Below are 19,299 nucleotides of genomic sequence, written 5' to 3'. Positions count from 1 at the left end.
TAAAGGCTCAATAAATGCCTAATGATGAAAAACAAAAATTAATGCACAAATTGGGTTTCAAATGTTACATTGCTAGAATGTTTAAAATTATGGAGTCATTTTATGTTTGTGTGTGTGTGTGTGTGTATATATATATATATATATATATCTTTTTATCCTTATTGAAGGCAGAGATTTCAAACTACGTATGAAGTATTCATATCTGTAGATTTATAGCAGATTGGTGTGTTTTCTGTTTTAGATTGCCTGTTTTGTAGTAGAGAGATGCTTCTCAGGACGTCGTGGGATCACACTGTTCAGACTGATTTCCAACAGGCACAGCGTGGTAACCAAAGTCTCCCCTTTGGCTGATGAGTGTAAACATTCCAATTGAGTGAAGTTTCAAAACTATTTTTACATTACAGGTTTGGGTAATATGGGAGCAGGAAACTGTTTCTATTCCACACATGCCTCAGTTTACTAAGCAGGAAGTTACCAAGAAACTAAAGCAAACCAGAACTCCTACAAATTCTTAGAGCATATATTAAAAGAGTGAGAATTTACTCACTTCAACATCACAGATCACTTTTACCTTGCACTTCTTTTAATTTACTTGTAAATTACTTTTTAATTTACAAAATTACAATCAGGTTATGTATTTTTGCCCGGAATATGACATAAGACATACCATATCCTTAAAGTATTACATTCTGTGGCACACAATTTACTTCATTTTTACTTTACTGGTAATGTTGATTTTAATTACATGGTTAGGGGATTATCCAGATTCTGCATGATATAGTTTGTACATATTAAAGTGATTTTACTTTTAGAATCAACATATAATTTATATACCACGTAAATATCCTGCCCTGATCAAATTTGATTATCTCCTGAGATGCTAAATTTAATGAATGATTCTCTTTTTTTAACTTTAAGTTTGGGGTACATGTGCAGGATGTGCAAGTTTGTTACATGGGTAGCATGTGCCATCAGAGTTTGTTGTTTATTTTTTCTGAGTTTCTTGAAAATCTTTCTCTCCTCTTGCCTTTCTATCGCTGATGTGCTGTTGAGATATCTGGTGCCTGTATTACTTTCTTACTCTTATAAATAACTTGGTCATTTTGACTGTAAGCCCTGAGAATTTTTCATTTGACCTTAAAGTCTAAAATTTTACCGTGGTACGTTTCAGGGTGATTGCCCTGGCTCAGTTTTTCAGGTGTATAATAGGTTCTTTCAATATATTGACGTAAGGATTTTATTTTTCCTAGAAAATTACTTATGGATTTTAAAAATAAATATTAGTTTCATTCCATTGCATTACTATTATTATTATTATTTTTGAGACGGAGTCTCATTCTGTCACCCAGGCTGGAGTGCAGTGGCACAATCTCGACTCACTACAAGTTCTGCCTCCTGGGTTCACGACATTCTCCTGCCTCAGCCTCCTGAGTAGCTGGGACTACAGGCGCCCACCACCACAGCCGGCTAATTTTTTGTATTTTTAGTAGAGACGGAGTTTCACCGTGTTAGCCAGGATGGTCTCGATCTCTTGACCTCCTGATCCGCCCACCTCGGCCTCCCAAAGTGCTGGGATTACAGGCATGAGCCACCGTGCCCGGCCTATTATTCTTCTTAAGAGATCCCAGTTGCATATATGTAGAACTCCTTTGCATGTCCTTCATTTCAACCACTTTTTCTCCAGCCATTATTACTTTTCCACTTTTTTTTTTTTTTTGGTCATGTTTATATTCATGGTTACTTTATTTAAACTCAAGTTCAGAAGTACAAGTGCAGGTTTGCTACATAGGTAAACTTGTGTCATGGGAGTTTGTTGTTAGATTATTTCATCATCCAGGTATTAAGCTTAGTACCCGTTAGTTATTTTTCCTGATCTTCTCCCTCCTCACAACCTCCACTCTCCAAAAGTCCTCAGTGCATGTGTGTTCCTCTATGTGTCCATGTGTTCTTATCATTTAGCTCCCACTTAGAAATGAAAACACACAGTATTTGGCTTCCTGTTTCTGTGTTAGTTTGCTGAGGATAATGGCCTCCAGCTCCATCCATGCTCCTGCAAAGGATATGATCTCATTTTTTGCGGCTGCATAGTATTCCATGGTGTATATTTACCACATTTTCTTTATCCAGTCTATCACTGATGGGCATTTAGTTTGATTCCATGCCTTTGCTATCGTGAATAATGCTGCAGTGAACACACATGTGCATGTGTCTTTATAACAGAATGATTTATACTCCTTTGAGTATATACCGAGTAATGAAATTGCTGGAATATTCACGGTTTCTTTCTTCCTTTCAATGCCTCTTATTAAAATTTCATTCAATTTTACTCTCCCTTGGGCATCTTGAATTATATCCTTCAATTCTGTTTTTATGTTATTTTATTTCTTTACTTTTTTATTTAAAGTTTCTTTCCTGAGCTCTGTTCAACTCTCACTGAAATTCAACTCTTGTATTTACTATTTATATATTTGTGGTAATTTTTGAATTTCAGTGCTTTTTACAAATACATATGAGTGTTTGTGTAAGATTAATTTGAGATTGTTTTATGATAGTTTTGTTCTCTTTTATACTGGATATTAAGGAAAATTTTTAACAACTGAAATGCTTTCATTTTTTTCTTTTTTCTATAGTCTGGTATGATATTGCTCTGATTTTTCTATATCTAGGCATTTTGTGGACAAGGCTTCTTTCTCAAGAGTGCGCTCTACTGTCAATATAAGTGACATGTAGTTTCATTAATAGTTGGCATTGGTGATGGGAGAGAAGGGTAAATTGGCTTATCTTGTAAGTGTTTCTTTAGGACCTTTAGTTTTCTCTTCTCACTCTCTCTTTTCCATCATTATCATATCTCTAAGGGGCACCGCTCTCTCTCTCCTCAACTAGTAGTGGTGATTCTGGAGCTACTACCTCTAGTACCCCTCTAATTTAGGCCTCCTGCTCTAGCCAGTGCTATGAAGTGCTAAGTCCCTGATCATTATTCAGCATTTTGGCACTTAGGCTTGAATTTCTCTTTCTCAGATTGATTTTTTTTTGGACTTTGTTCTTCTTTCCTCTTTTCTCTTCACTGCCTATGACCTATTTACAGTTTCCCTTCTTTCCACTAATTTCTGCATTCATAAGATGGCAATACTAAAGGGAATTTCAATAGGAACTGTTGAAGTTCAGTGTTTGTTTTCCTATTCACAAGTAACATGAAATTCACAGTATTCTCTAACTCCTATTAATGCAGATTACATCATTTTATTTTTTTGGTGAGCGTCTCTTTAAGCTTGTTCACGCACACGTATTCACTTATTTTTGTACATTTTGGTGGGAATATGTATTATACTTATATTCTGCATTTATACTTAGCCTTCTATCATATTATTACGTGTTTCTATAAACTCTTCACTGCCTTTTCAAGTTTTAAAACTTTCTAATATAGCTTTCTATTCATAGAAGTAATACTGATACAGAAATCTTACAGAGCAAAAAACTAACAATGAAACTGAAAAACAGTAATTCTACCTCCCAGAGGCAAACACCAATAACATTCCTTTTTTTTCTTCCAGTATGTTTTTTCTGCACGTATTGGTAGAAATGATATTGCACCTATAATTTGATATCCTGCTTTTTTATTTAACTGTGTTTCATAATTATTTTCCTGTGTAATTTAAATTATTCATAAACATCATTTTCAATGGTTTCCTAGTATTCCACCATATGGACATTTTCCTAACATTTATTGTAATTTTCATTATTTACAAAAATTTTACAATGAACATCTTTGTGCATAAATTTGCATCCATATTTCAGATTTTTTATAACACATTTCTGGTAAAGGAATATAAACCCACAAGTTAGTTATTACTGAATACTAAATTTCGATTTATTCTCAACAGCTTGTAAGCATGACTTTAAGTGCTTTCTTTTAAAAGTAGGGGTGGTAGGTATACTTTTGGAGTATGTATATATCTGGAATTGCTTACTTTTGTTTTTATATATGATAAATAATGTGTAATACTATCAATTATTGGCCCACAATATTGTTTTCATATTGTTATCTACTATCACTTAATAATGCAGACATTCTTAATGCAGCCTAAGTTTTACTCCCTTGGGTTGATTATGGTTTAATTTTGCCTTAATTTTCATCTGTTAAAAACTCACAAATTTATATCTCTATCCCAAAGTGCTTCTTTGAACACCAAAGACATAGATGTGATAGTCAGTTTTCCCTTTCCACTTTGATATATAACAGGCATCTCAATATTATCATGAGTCTTAACAAAGCTCACGAAAGAACCAGTCATTTTCCCCACTACACAGAAACACACACATGCACACACAAACCTGCTACAGTCTGGTATACATACCATGCATCTAGCAGTTTAAGGCAAAAGCTTGAGTCTTTCTGATGTTTCTTCACATGTCACATACAATATCTCAATATGTTTATAAATTATGCCTTCAAAGCATAGCTTAAATGTGTTTATTTCTCTTCATCTCCACTGCTAACACATTGGTCTTTTTATATCTTACCTAGAATTGTACAGTAACTTGTTAAGAGGTCACCTAGACGTTCTCTTAGGTTCCTTTCTCCTACAGAAGCTAAGGGGACCGTCTGTTAAAAAGTAAGTCTGATTTTTGTCGATCCTCACCTTAAGGATCTTCCAATGGCTATCCATAACAATAGCAATAAAAATCCCAAGTCCTTTTTGGGTTGTGTCCTTTCTTGGTTTTGGTATTAGGGTGATGCTGGCTTCATTGAATGATTCAGGGAGGGTTCCTTCTTTCTCTATCTTGCGGAATAGGGTCAAAAGGATTGATACCAATTATTTAAACATCTGGTAGAATTCTGCTGTGAATCCATCCGGTCCTGGGCTTTTTTTGCTGTTGTTGGTAATTTTTAAATTACTGTTTCAATCTTGCTACTGGTAATTGGTCTGTTCAGGGTATCTAATTGTTTCTGATTTAAGCTAGGAGGGTTGCCTCCACCAAGATGTCATTATTGGGAGCCCGTGGCTGGGGCACTTTTTCCCACTTTGACTCGTTACTTTTCTACTCCTAACCCTTCCGTCTATCTTTCCCCCAGCTCCATGGAGCCATAAAATGGCAGAACATTTTGTCCAGGATTCCTCTGCAGTGAGATGATTCCCTCCACCTGATCTGTATGCCACCTGACCCTCACCTTGTATCATTCTGTGAGAAAAAAGGAACACCAAAGAGTGAGTGTTTTTCTATGGATCTTTCTAACAGCTGACAGTTTGACAATATTCAATGGCGACAGCACTTTTGTCAGCGCACAAACACACACATACACACCAATATGGTAACACAGTTTTGGGAAATGGCCTAACTGTCTTACTTTTACGGCAAAGTAGTACACTGCACTATCCAATAGATTGCCAGGGGTGCTTATGTCACTACATCCCAAGCTTCAGATGTCTCAGAACAGAAAAAGAGACTCCAGTTGTTTGAAAGAAAGTACAGAAGAGAACAAGAGTCTCTGCTGGTAATCCAGAGAATTCTCCTGGATCTTCACCAAGATTATCAACGCAGTACCTCTATGAATCTGCAGGAACCACAGTGCTACTGGGATTGGGCTGCCACCCTAATGCAGTTACAGCTTAGATCACAACACACAAGTCCTTTAGAATATCTGAAAAGCCTTCCCAGAAAGACAGGTACAAATAAGCCCAGACTGCAAAGACTAAAATAAATCCCTAACTCTTCAATGCCCAGACACAGATAAACATCTACAAGTACAGAGAAAATCCAGGAAAACATGACCTCACCAAATAAACTAAATAAGGCACCAGTGACCCATTCTGGGGAAAAACAGATATGTGACCTTTCAGACACATATCTGTTTTTGTGTTGTGAATCGGAATTCACAATAGCTGTGTTAAGGAAGCTCAAAGAAATTCAAGATAACATAGAGAATGAATTAAGAATTCTATCCAATAAATTTAACAATGAGATCAAGATAATTAAAGATAGAGATAATTTTTAAAAAATCAAGCAGAAATTTTGGAGCTAAAAATGTAATTGACATACTAAAGAATGCATCAGTCTTTTAATAGCATAATTGATGAAGCAAAAGACAGAACTAGTGAGCTTGAAGACAACCTATTTGAAAACACACAGTAAGAGGAAACAAAACCAAAAAGAATTAAAGAAAAGGCCGGGTGCCGTGGCTCACGCCTGTAATCCCAGCACTTTGGGAGGCCGAGGCGGGTGGATCACAAGGTCAGGAGATCGAGACCATCCTGGCTAACACAGTGAAACCCTGTCTCTACAAAAAATACAAAAAATTAGCCAGGAGTGGTGGTGGGTGCTGTAGTTCCAGCTGCTCGGGAGGCTGAGGCAAGAGAATGGCGTGAACCCAGAAGGCGGAGCTTGCAGTGAGCTGAGATCACACCACTGCACTCCAGCCTGGGCAATAGGGCGACACTCCATCTCAAAAAAAAAAAAAAAAAAGAATTAAAGAAAAAAGTATGCCTACAAAATCTAGAAAATATAAAATTTATTGGCCTTAAAGAGGTGGCAGTGAGAGAAGTATACAAGTAGAAAGTTTATTCAAAGTGATAATAGATAACTTCCTAATCCTGGACAAAGATACCAATATTCAAGTACAAGAAAGTTGTAGAATATCAAGCAGATTTAACCCAAAAAGGACTACCTGGAGGAATTTAATAATCAAACTTCCAATTATCAAAGGTAAACAAAGGATCCTAACAGCAGCAAGAGAAGAGAAACAAATAACATATAATAGAGTTCCAACACCTCTTGCAGCAGACTTTTCAGTGGAAACCTTACCAGCCAGAAGAGAGTGGAACTACATATATTTCAAGAAATAAAGGAAAAAAAAGTTACCCTAGAATAGTATATCTGGCAAAAGTATCCTTCAAACATGACAAAGAAATAAAGATTTTTGCAGACAAACAAAAACTGAGGGATTTCATCCACATCATGCCTGTCCTGCAAGAAATTCCAAAGGCTGTGCTTCAATCAGAAAGAAAAGGATGTTACCAATAACCAATAAGTAATCACCTGAAGGAACAAGACTCACCAGTAATAGTAAGAATGCAGAAGAACACAGAATATGATAACCCTGTAACTATGGTGTGTAAATTACTCTTATTCTAAGTAGAAAGACTAAATGATGAACCAATCAAAAATAATAACTACATCGGCTTTACAAGGCATAGTCAATACAAAAAGATATAAATAGAAACAAACAGAAAGTAAAAAAGTGAGGGGATGAAATTAAAGCATACAGTTTTTATCACTTTTCTTCTTATCTGTTTGTTTATGCAACCTATCAAAGCCTATGGGATATAGGAAAAGCAGCACTAAGAGGGAAGTACATAGCTATAAATGCCCTACATGGTTTGGCCGTGTCCCCAACCCAAATCTCATCTTGAATTATAGATCCTGTAATTCCTGTGTGTCACAGGAGGGACCCAGTGAGAGGTAATCGAATCATGGGGATGGGTCTTTCCCATGCTGTTCTTGTGATAGTGAATAAGTCTCATGATATCTGATGATTTCCCCTGCACATGCACTCATGTCTGCTGCCATATAAGACATAACTTTGCTCCTCATTTGCCTTCCACCATGATTGTGAGGCCTCCCCAGCCAGTTGGGATCATGAGTCAATTAAACCTTGGGTATGTCTTGGGTATGTCTTTATTAGTAGCATGAGAACAGACTAATACCTGCCCACATCGAAAAGGAGGAGAAACTCAATTAAACAATCCAATGATGCATTTTAAAGAACTAGAAGAGCAACAGCAAACCAAATCCCAAATTACCATATGAAAAGAAATAATAAAGATAATAGCAGAAATAAATAAAATTGAAATGAAAAAACAATACAAAAGACCAAAAGAACAAAAAGTTGGTTTTTTGAAAAGATAAACAAAATTGACAACCCTTAAGTTAGACCACAAAAAAAAAAAAAAAGGGACCAGACCCAAAGAAATAAATCAGAGAGAAAAAAAAAGGATATATTACAACTGATAGCACAGAAATGCAAAGGATTATTAGTGGTTACTCTGAGCAACTACATTCCAAAAAATTAGAAAATCTAAAAGAAATGAGAAAAAATCCTATATGAATACAACCTACCAAGATTGAACCATGAACAAATCCAAAACCTAAACAGATCAGTAACAAGTAACAAGATCTAAGCTATAATAAAAAGTCTCCCAGCAAAGAAAAGCCTGAGACCCAATGGCTTCCCTACTGAATTCCACCAAACATTTAAAGAAAAACTACTACCAATCCTATTTAAACTATTCCAAAGAATAGAAGACGGAATACTTCCAAATTCATTTTACAAGACCAGTATTACTCTGATACCAAACCCAGACAAAGACACATCAAAAAAAGAAAGCTACAGGTCAATACATTTAACGAATATTGATGCAAAAATCCTTAACAAAACACTAGCAAACTGAATTCAATACTAAATTAGAAAGATCATTTATCATGACCAAGCAGGATTTGTCCCTGAGATGCAAGGATGGTTCAACATAAACATATTAATAAATAAGATACATCATATCAACAGAATGATAGACAAAAACCATATGATCATTTCAATTAATGTTGAAAAAGCATTTCATAAAATTCAACATTCATTTATAATAAAAAAATTCTCAAAAAAACGGTGTAGAAGGAACATACCTCAACATGATAAAAACCATATATGACAGACTCATACCCAGTATCATACCAAATGTGGGAAAATTGAAAGGCTTTCCTCTAAAATCTGGAGCATGACAATGATGCCCACTTTCACCCATTATTCAACATAGTACTGAAAGTCCTAGCTATAGCAATCAGACAAGAGAAAGAAGTAAATAATATCCAAACTGGAAAGGAAGAAGTCAAATTATTCTTGTTTGCAGATGACATGACATATTTGAAAAAGTCTAAAGACTCTACAAAAAAAAAAACTATTATAACTGATAAACCAATTCCGTAAAGTCACAGGATTACAAAATCCACACACAAAAATGAGTAGTATTTCTATATGCCAACAATGAACAATCTGAAAAAGAAATGAAAATGTAATCTCACTTACAATAGCCACAAATAAAATTAAATACCTAAATGGATAGAACTGGAGACTGCGATTTGAAGTGAAATAAGCCAAGGACAGAAAAACAAACATAGCACGTCCTTACTTATTTGTGGGTCTAAAAATCAAAACAATTGAACTCATGGAAATAGATAGTAGAAGGATGATTACCAGAGGCTGGGAAGGATAATGGGGTTGGGGGAGAAGTGGGGATGGTTAATGGGTACAAAAGAATAAATAAAAAGATGTATAAGACCTACTATTTCATAGCACAATAGGGTGACCATAGTCAATAATAATTTAGTTCTGCATTGTAAAACAACTAAAAGAGTAGAGTATAATTGGATTGTTTGTAACACAAAGGATAAATGCTTGTGGGGACAGCTACCCCATTCTCCATGATGTGATTATTACACATTGCATCCTTGTATCAAAACATCTCATGTACCCCATAAATATATGTACAAAAATAAAAAATACTATAAGGGGCGTGTTTCTACCAGCATTTATGTAATGCAATAGAACACAATAAAATAGGATAGACTAAAACATACATTATCACAGTATATCACAATTTTTAATAGTAAATATTGTTTGGGAAATCTTTTATACTATTCACACTGTTTATGTGTACATATGTGCATGCATACATGCTCATGTATGCACCCGTGTGTGTGTGTGAACGTGTGTTCTCCATATTGTTGTACATGCTCCTTGCAGTGATGTAGGATTAATTTCTTAGTCTAGATCAATAGATAAGAAGGGAAGCAATTATTCTTCTAGATGCCACTGTCACTTCTACGCTGCTTCATTTAAATCTTTGGTTAAAATCCCTGCTGGACATAATGGCTCATGTCTGTGGTCCCAAAAATTTTTAGGAGCCCAAGGCAGGAATATCACTTGAGGCCAGGACTTCAAGACCAGACTGTGCAATATAGTGAGACCCCCATCTCTCCAAAAAACAAAACATTAATCCCCTCCTTTATCCCAGCCCACGTAATTGCCTACTATTTTTCTGACACTTTGCCCATATTCATCAAGAACTATAGTATGTCATCATCTTGGTTCACACTGCAAATCCAGCATTTATTCTGGGAACATCTAACAAACTGTTCCTTGACATCTGCACCTTCTATGATTTCACCCACCAGGATTATCCAGCCATTTCCACTGTCCACTGTCATATGTTTGTTATTTCAGCGGAGGTAAAACTACCTTTACCCTCTTAGGGCTCCCAGGCTGGGCCTGAGAATTTGACATAAAATAAATTAATAGGAGTAAAGCATAATGATTTAATGTAAATTTTATGTGACACAAGATCCCTCATAAGAAAATGAATACCTGAAGAAGTAAAGACCCAAATTTTTTTTTTTTTTTTTTTTTTTTTTGGAGTTGGAGTCTCGCTCTGTCACCAGGCTGGAGTGCGGTGGCAGTCTCGGCTCACTGCAACCTCTGCCTCCTGGGTTCAAGTGATTCTCCTGCCTCAGCCTCCCAAGTAGCTGGGACTACAGGTGCCCACCACCACACCCAGCTAATTTTTGTATTTTTAGTAGAGATGGGGTTTCACCATGTTGGCCAGGATGTTCTCGATCTCTTGACCTTATTATCCACCTGCCTCAGTCTCCCAAAGTGCTGGGATTACAGACATCAGCCACTGCGCCTGGCCCAGTGTTTTTATATTAGGTTGAACAAAGAGAAGCAACTGTGGTCAATCTCTCATTTTTTGAGCTCTTGTTTTTCTCATTATACATACTGTGAGACTATGATCCCTAGACTGCTTTGATTTCCTCTCTTCTTGAAGTCTCTTACTGTCCCTCAAACTTCTCTTCCTTTTTTAGCCAGCCTAGACTTCATGGCCTTCACCTCCATTTACCTTTTGCCAGTACTGCATATACCCTCAACCCTTCTGTCCTTCTGCCCCACTTTTCTGAAAATGCCTGAACACTTTTCCATTTCCACTGTGCCTGAACTGGTAAATGTTGCTAAACTAACTCACAAGATCATAACTTTGCTGACTGGAATCACTAAAATTATAGTGTATACCATCTGTGCAGTGACCTTAAAATTGAATTTGTAATCCTGTCACTGATATAGAGACCTCTACTCTTGGAACAATTTCGGTTGATTGGTAGCGGCTACCTGAATGTACTGTATATGGGGGAGGGTTGTGAAAGTACAGTTGGGCTCAGCTGGAAAAATTGCTGAGATTGAGTAATGATGTCTATCATGTGTGAAGAAAGACAATTGTGGCCTTTTATCATATAATTCCCTTTTTACATTAACAGTGACCCCAAAGTTGCATTTCAAACCTATAATCCTAGTCTTAAACTCATTCTGTTAGGATAAAGACTATTCTTTTTAAGACAGAAAATGTCAGCTTGAGCTCTATCAATTTCCTACTTAGTGACTCAATTTCTTTAAAACAGATACATATATTATCTGCTTAATGGGGAAAAGAGCTTCCCTACCTCTACTTCTGAAAATTGTACACCTACCTCTGTCCTCAGCCCCATCTCCTCCTGCCTCTTAAGGAAAATTTCCTTTTGAAATAATCCCTAATTTACTATATTTTTTATTTCATTGTTTTATTTTCTGCATCAGATAAACATGTTCAAATTTACCACATCTTCTTAAAATGCTTCACTCACTTGTATTACCCTCATTGCCATGGTAACTTTCTCTTAAAAGTCTAGGAAACTCCCACCACTTAATTGATATATCTCAGTTAGTCATCAGTTTCAAATTTGTCAAAGTCAAGCAATCTCTTCAGTTCTCATCATCCTTGGCAGAGCTCAGAAATATGACAAAGGGGGCCATGCATTGCTTTCCTGAGATGTGCTCCTTCCCAGACTGCTCCTATTCCATTGTCTTGCATGTTTTCTTCTCACACCTCTGGTCACTCACTTGCAACATATTTTCAGGATTTCCTTTTCTGCCTTTATACCATAAGTATTAGAATAATTAAGATTCCAATGGGTTCTATTCTCAGTCTTTCTTTTAAATCAAAATGGTAATTATAGATTTTTTCAGCTATATTCCTGGAATCCAAAATGTATATCCCCAGCCCATATAGTTCTTTACCTTAGAGCTCTGATGCAGGACAGGCAAGCCCCAAGACTGGGGCATAGCTCAAGAGGGTTCTTGACTTTGCCCAGGAAAGAATTCAAAGGCTAACTGGTGGTGTTAAGTAGCAACTTTACTGAAGTGGCAGTGTACAGCAGCAGCAGAGGTACCACTCCTTGCGGATCAGGGGCTACCCCATAGGCAGTGTGCCCAGAGTAGCAGTCCAGCAGTCATATTTACACACACTTCTAATTATATGCAAATTAGGGGTGGTTTATGCAGAAAAAGGGGTGTTAACTTCCAGGCTGTCTAGTCATTGCCATGAAAAGGGACAGTAACTTCATAGTGTTGCCATGGCAATGGTAAGCTGACATGGAACACTGATGGGCATGTCTTACCGGGAGATGCTTCTGCCCAGGACCTATTTTAGCTAGTACTCAATTTAGGCTGGTACCCAAGCCATGCCTGTGGAGTCCGGTCCTGCCTCCTATCTCGGCTCAGACTCATAAACACAATAGCATACTATATAGTTCTATTCATTTGAATAGTATAGAATTTATTTTATGTGACTCGTGAGCCAAACATGCCTATTTAATTTGGTTCAGTCCAAAATGTAGCATCTTCTTAAGTGCTATCTCCTCTGAAACTCATCTTTAACCTCCTCCGCTTCTGCCCAGGACCTATTTTAGCTAGTACTCAATTTAGGCTGGTACCCAAGCCATGCCTGTGGAGTCCGGTCCTGCCTCCTATCTCGGCTCAGACTCATAAACACAATAGCATACTATATAGTTCTATTCATTTGAATAGTATAGAATTTATTTTATGTGACTCGTGAGCCAAACATGCCTATTTAATTTGGTTCAGTCCAAAATGTAGCATCTTCTTAAGTGCTATCTCCTCTGAAACTCATCTTTAACCTCCTCCATCAGATTTGGGCTGCCTTTAACAAATCTTCCTCCTGGAGTTTTTACCTCACTCTATTGTAACAATTGTAATATTTTAATGTACTTATTTCATTGTTTCTTAACCCCCTAGTGCAACAGCTGTATGAATAATAAATGCTTGAAATCTCTCTTGGCATATACCGGATAATTAATGAATATAAGTTAAAGAACAAATGAATTATTCTAAAGCATAAAGTAGATAAAAACTAATCGGGCTGGAATGTTACTTATTTTCTGTCATCTTTCAATATTACATCATCTGCCCCGAGCCAAGTGCCTATGTTTTCCAAATTCTAGGTGTGAATAATTTTATATAGTATTGTATTGTTTGTGATTTATGAGATTTTAAGTTTTTCATTGGAGGGTGTAAGAAGTATAATTATGGATTTATTGTCCAGTAAAGGACAGACAAAAAGACAAAACACATAGAGTACTACTTATGGGTACTTAGAAACTTTTTTTTTCTTTTTTTTTTGTAGTTGGGATTACAAGCACGTGCCACCATACCCGGCTAATTTTTGTATTTTTAGTGGAGACAGGGTTTCACCATTTTGGTCAGGCTGGCCTCAAGTGATCTGCCCTCCTCAGACTCCCTAAGTGCTGGGATTACAGGCGTGAGGCACAGCACCTGGCCAAAAATTATTTCTAAAGATACTTTGAGCATAAAGTGAGATAATTCATGTTTAATCACATAGTACATGTAGACACGTTATGTAATGCTTTTTTTTCTTTGAGACTGAGTCTTGCTCTATTGCCCAGGCTGGAGGGCAGTGGCGTGATCTTAGCTCACTGCAACTTTCATTCCCGGGTTGAAGCGATTCTCGTGCGTCAGCCTCCCGAGTAGCTGGGATTACAGGCGCCCGCAACCACGCCTGGCTAATTTTTCTATTTTTAGTAGAGACGGGGTTTCACCATATTGGCCAGGCTGGTCTCCAACTCCTGACCTCAAGTGATCTGCCCACCTCGGCCTCCCAAAGTACTGGGATTACAGGCATGAGCCACCATGTCCAGCCCATGTAATGCATATTAACAATGGTAATGTAGGATTATGAAAGTGGGCAGAAATTTGTTTCATGGAAAGGTATTTAGTTATATATTTTTTGCTTTTAAAATGGGTATTTCAGTGCAAAACTCTGACAGAAATAGGCAAATCAGTGACTAGTTCACAACTCCCTAGATTTAAAAGGGAGCTCTCTGCTCGAAATACAGGTCAGCCTCAGGACTCAGCATTGCCTTAATGAAGGCAGCCTGTCTGTGGTGTGCAATTTGAGATGTCTGGGTGCTACAAAACTGGCTGAAAGCAGAAGTGATTCTTTCTGAATAAACAATGTAGTTTGCTCATATGTATCACAGAACACGATGTTATTACTTGTGTTTCCACAGTGATTTGTTGGTTTTCCAGTGCAAGAGTGATCCCTCCTTCGTTTTTACCAAAAAGAGGTAAGAGAAATAAAGATGGCTTCTGCTCTGTAGACAAACAGTATTGATTGTTCAATAATCCAGTAAGATGAGGAAGTATTAGATGGAAATCATAATAACTCCATGATAATCTCTGGGAACAAAAATCAATAAAAAGGGAATGGTTTTATAAGAGACATACAACATTATTATTCTAATACCTCAGGTCATAAAGCTGAGATATTTGAGTGTGACATGACATATTAGCTAAAATGACTAGGAAACTATGGCAGCCAAAATGATCACAAATCATTTCTGATAGAGCATTTCTCATCCTCTCCTTGTCCCTTCCCACTCACACACAATAATTAGCTCCAGCTACATTTCCTCTCCATTGTTCCATTTGTTACTATTCCTGAACTTTGTTTTCAACTCTGGGCTTTTAAGCTTTCTGTTCTTCTGCCTGGACCACTCTTCAATCAGGTCTTTCAATAACCCATTCTTCCTCATCAGTCAGGTTTCTGCTCAAAACCCGTTTCCTGTGAGAGAAGCACTTGTTAAACCACTATGTCTAAAAAAAATAATCTACAGTTTACCCTGTGCCAGTCAACATCGAGTCTCTGTTACCTTCTCTGCACCTGTTTCAAAACCTGTACTCTGTAATTGTTTCTATGTTTATTCTGTCTCTTACCTCAGTAGAACATGAGTTCTATTATCATGTGTACTGTCTTCCCCAGATTCTAGAACTCCATGTGAAATATAATCAATGCAAAATATTTGTTGAATGGACAGATGAACATCTTTTAATACCTATTTATTTTTAGAATATGTGACTGTCATTTTCCCCATCAGTTACAAACTTCTTCATGGTCAGGCTAGGCAATGTCCCCTCCCCTTGTCCCTCTTCCCCACAGAAAGCTGGGCAATCCAGCTCACTCCTTTAGATCCTCTCCATTTTTGATTCCTTGAACATGTATTAACTCTTTTTTTTTTTTTTTCTGAGACGGAGTCTCGCTCTATTGCCCAGGCTGGAGTGCAGTGGCACGATCTCAGCTCACTGCAAGCTCCGCCTCCCAGGTTCACGCCATTCTCCTGCCTCAGCCTCCCAAGTAGCTGGGACTACAGGCGCCCGCCACCACACCCGGCTAATTTTTGTATTTTTAGTAGAGACGGGGTTTCACCATGTTAGCCAGGATGATCTTGACCTCGTGATCCGCCTGCCTTGGCCTCCCAAAGTGCTGAGATTACAGGTGTATTCTCAGCACCCGGCCGTATTAACTTTTTGTGGGGGAAGAGCCTGGCTATTTAGAAGTGTCTGTTGTTTTTGTTTGTCAATCAGTGGGAAACCTGATTCTATCGGAATAATAAGACAGATGTAAGACATTATTTGTTTGTTTCTACTTCCTATGTGCCGTTCAAGGAGTAAGGTTACTATATAAAGGTAATCTTCCCAAGAACATAAAACATACTATATCAGGAAAAGATTCTTTGTTCTTTACCTGGGTATAACAACCGGGAGAAAGAAGAAAAGCAAGTAAGTGTTTTTCAGCCTTTGGGGAGGCATGGTATTCAATTGATTGGTTCTTATAGTTTAGTTATTGCTTCATTAACTATAGTAGACAAATTATTGTGGATTCAAAGCTAAAGACAGACAATACCTTTTATTCCATAAGGGAAAATCTAGTTATACGTTAAAGAGTCTATGTGAGTAATACTGTTATGAAATGTAGAAGAGGACTATTAAATTACCTCAGTAAAGTATTAGTAATAGACAGATGACTTTTTAGGTCAGTAACATTTTTTCCCCATTTTTCTGGAGAATAATTATTTATTCGTTAGGTACCTTTGGTAACTATTTAAGCACTACTTTCTATTTCAATTTTATATTTGCTATATTCTCCATTCCTGTCTCATATAAAATGATTTTTAAAACAAAAATTTGTCATCTACTGCTTGAGTGTATTGGTGGGTTCAAGATTAAAACTTGGAGGTTACCTATGTATACCTGAGAACTCAACAGCTAAATTATGGCTTGTTAGAAAACTTGTTAGCATTTTAAACAATTTTCCCAAGTATAAATTCAGAGAAAATCAATTTACTTTCTCTTTTTTAATCTAAGGCTCAGGTTGTAATTTTGTAGTACCCAGTATCTCTCTGAAGTCTATGGTATATTATTCCACTTCTTTCCTAACTATGCATTTCATACCTACCCTTTGGAGTTGATCTTGAAAGAAAATTAATGGGCTCCTTATTCAGTATTGCAGTGTTTCAGGTAGCAAATGCATGACAGCTACTTAACCAACCCCTGAGTAGCCAACCAGTGAGTATGGCGTTAATGATTTTGGAGAAAGTTAACTAAGTGCATCTATCACTTTGTCATGTGTGGTAAAAGAATACATCAATCAAAGGTTAAGAGGGAACTGTCTTTGCTTCAGTCTGTGGGTACTACTAAAATCTGTTACAAAAATCAATAGAACAGGTATGGTAAGCTGCATTTATGCTGATTAAATAAAACAAATGGAAAAACAGAAGGTAGGAGGCTGGTAATATAGCTCCTAGAATAAAGCAGAGGTCAGTTTCCTGATATAGGAACCATCCTTATGAGCTTGATATTCCGGAGAAGTATTTCCACTGTCAGTGTCTTATAAAGGTTGAACCAGTAACCTTGTTTTCACAGGGCTATTTAACTGGATACCAGGAGAAGCAAATTGCTGATCCAGTCATGGATGTTTTACCCCATTATTTAGTTCCACTCTACATGGAATTTATTTGGAAGATTCTCAATGCACTTGCATTCAAACATAAAGACCTAATGACTCTCATTGCAGCAGTATTCCTCTTGTATTGTTATTTTCTTAACTTCGGATTTCCTCCATTTCTGCACTTTTTGCCATCTGGAATTTCATTTGCAAGGGCAGATAAGGGGAAAAGAATGTAATAAGAGACGAGGAAAAATATAAGCCCTTGCTGAATGATTGATATGAATGAAGGAACTGATGGAATAAATAACAAAAATAAAAAGATCCAGGACTACTCTCAGTCTCTGAAGCAGGTATGAAAATTGTAAGAACAAGGGAAGACTATAATTTTGGAATATAGCTGTGAGTTAATAAAAGCTAATGATAAAGAAAATAAGTTACCTTTCTTCACAGAAGGACAAAATGATGATTCAGTTACAGGAGAACAAGAATTGAGGCCCACCTCCAAATAATTACCAAGTAAATACAAAATTCCAGGTGGGCATGGTGGCTCATGCCTGTAATCCCAGCACTTTGGGAGGCTGAGACGGGTGGATCACCTGAGGTCAGGAGTGTAAGACCAGCTTGGCTCAAATGACGAAACCCTGTCTTTACTAAAAATAAAAAAATTAGCAAGGCATGGTGGCACACACCTGTAATCCCAGCTACTCGGGTGGCTGAGGCATGAGAATCACTTGAACCTAGGAGGCAGAGGTTACAGTGAGCCAAGATAGTATCACTGCACTCCAGCCTGGGCAACAGAGCAAAACTGTCTAAAAAATACTTGAAGATATATATATATTCAAATATATATATCTGAGAAAAAGTGATTGATAGGTATTCCCTCACGCACACCTAATAAAGTGCATATCAATACAACATTTCTGGAAAACAATTTTGTAAGATTTTTAAAAAGCCTTAAATTTCTTAATATCCTTTGACTCAAGAATTCTCATTCAAGAAATCTATCTGAAGTAAATATAGTGAAATTAAGGAAGAGAACAGGAAACACACTTAATCAGTCTTACTTATAATCATCAAAATGTTGAAACAACTTAAATTTGCAACAGTAGAGAAATCTTTTGATGAATTATGGTACATCCATTCAAATGTATTCTTGGAGAATAAGACATAGAAAATGATTCATTATTAAATGTTAGGCTAATAAAATAAACACTGTACAAAATTCCATGTATATTATAATTACCATTTATATGTGTGTGCATGTCTGTATATTTGCTTAGTCATATTTATGAGATAGAAGCCTCTGGTTTTCATTTGTTAAAGGAATTCTGAAAAATAATTTCATTGTTGACTGAAATGGAAATTATTAGAGAAAGCATACTGTGATGCTGTGAAAAGAGGTTTGGAACTTCAACAAACTAAATTTAATTTGTTTCTTTTCATGGCAGAAATACTTAGGACTTATTGAATTTTCTATGTGTGTTCCCTCCCTTTTGGTTAGGTGGGAGCCCTGGCGGTAGCTATGGGTCCAGTTCAAAGGATTATGAAATGCACTGCTTTCACATCAAAAAGGTAAGCACCTGTTTGTGTCTCTGCCATCTTCCTCTTCCTCTGCCAATGTGTCCTTGGAGGCTGTGTGTTCCAGGTAGTATCATCATAAGATGGGAGGGTAGTCCAAAATACACGGGGCTGGAACATAAGTGAGAATTAAACTTGCTGTTTTAAGCCAGCAAGATTTCAGGGATGTTCCATGCCTACGGCATATCCTACCCTATCCTGATTACTACAGTGCACATTACCCAATAGCTCTGTGAACTTGAGACAGTTATTTAATTTTTCTAAACCTCTATTCCCTCACTTGTATATCGAGCCATGAGGCTGCTGACATATCTCATAGGACTGCTTTCAGAAGGTAGTAAAAAAACATAGAAAATGATTGTACAATAGTTCTGGTTGAGTGTAAATTTCCTTCAGGCAAAATAATCAAATCTCATTTTTCTTACCTACTTCTTACAGTATTTTACTCCTTCATACATATGACCCTTTAGAATAGAGAACAATCACTATATGTTCAATAATCTGTTAAAAATTTGCTGAGAGTATTTAAAAATATATAAAA

General features: G+C 36.8%; 1 long non-coding RNA gene across 1 annotated transcript; it reads left to right on the top strand.

Moving 5' to 3' along the window:
- Positions 1-241: 241 nt before the first annotated feature.
- LOC105374459 (uncharacterized) lies at positions 242-18,753 on the top strand. The gene is made up of 6 exons (XR_001739398.2): positions 242-325; positions 4,526-4,613; positions 5,075-5,207; positions 14,464-14,520; positions 17,156-17,530; positions 18,682-18,753. It is a non-coding gene; the product is annotated as an uncharacterized LOC105374459 (long non-coding RNA).
- Positions 18,754-19,299: the final 546 nt, after the last annotated feature.

Source organism: Homo sapiens, chromosome 2 (genome assembly GCF_000001405.40).
Source record: "Homo sapiens chromosome 2, GRCh38.p14 Primary Assembly".
Lineage (NCBI taxonomy): Eukaryota > Metazoa > Chordata > Mammalia > Primates > Hominidae > Homo > Homo sapiens.
Note: the sequence above shows the minus strand (reverse complement) of the source record. Positions and strands in the feature narration are given on the sequence as shown.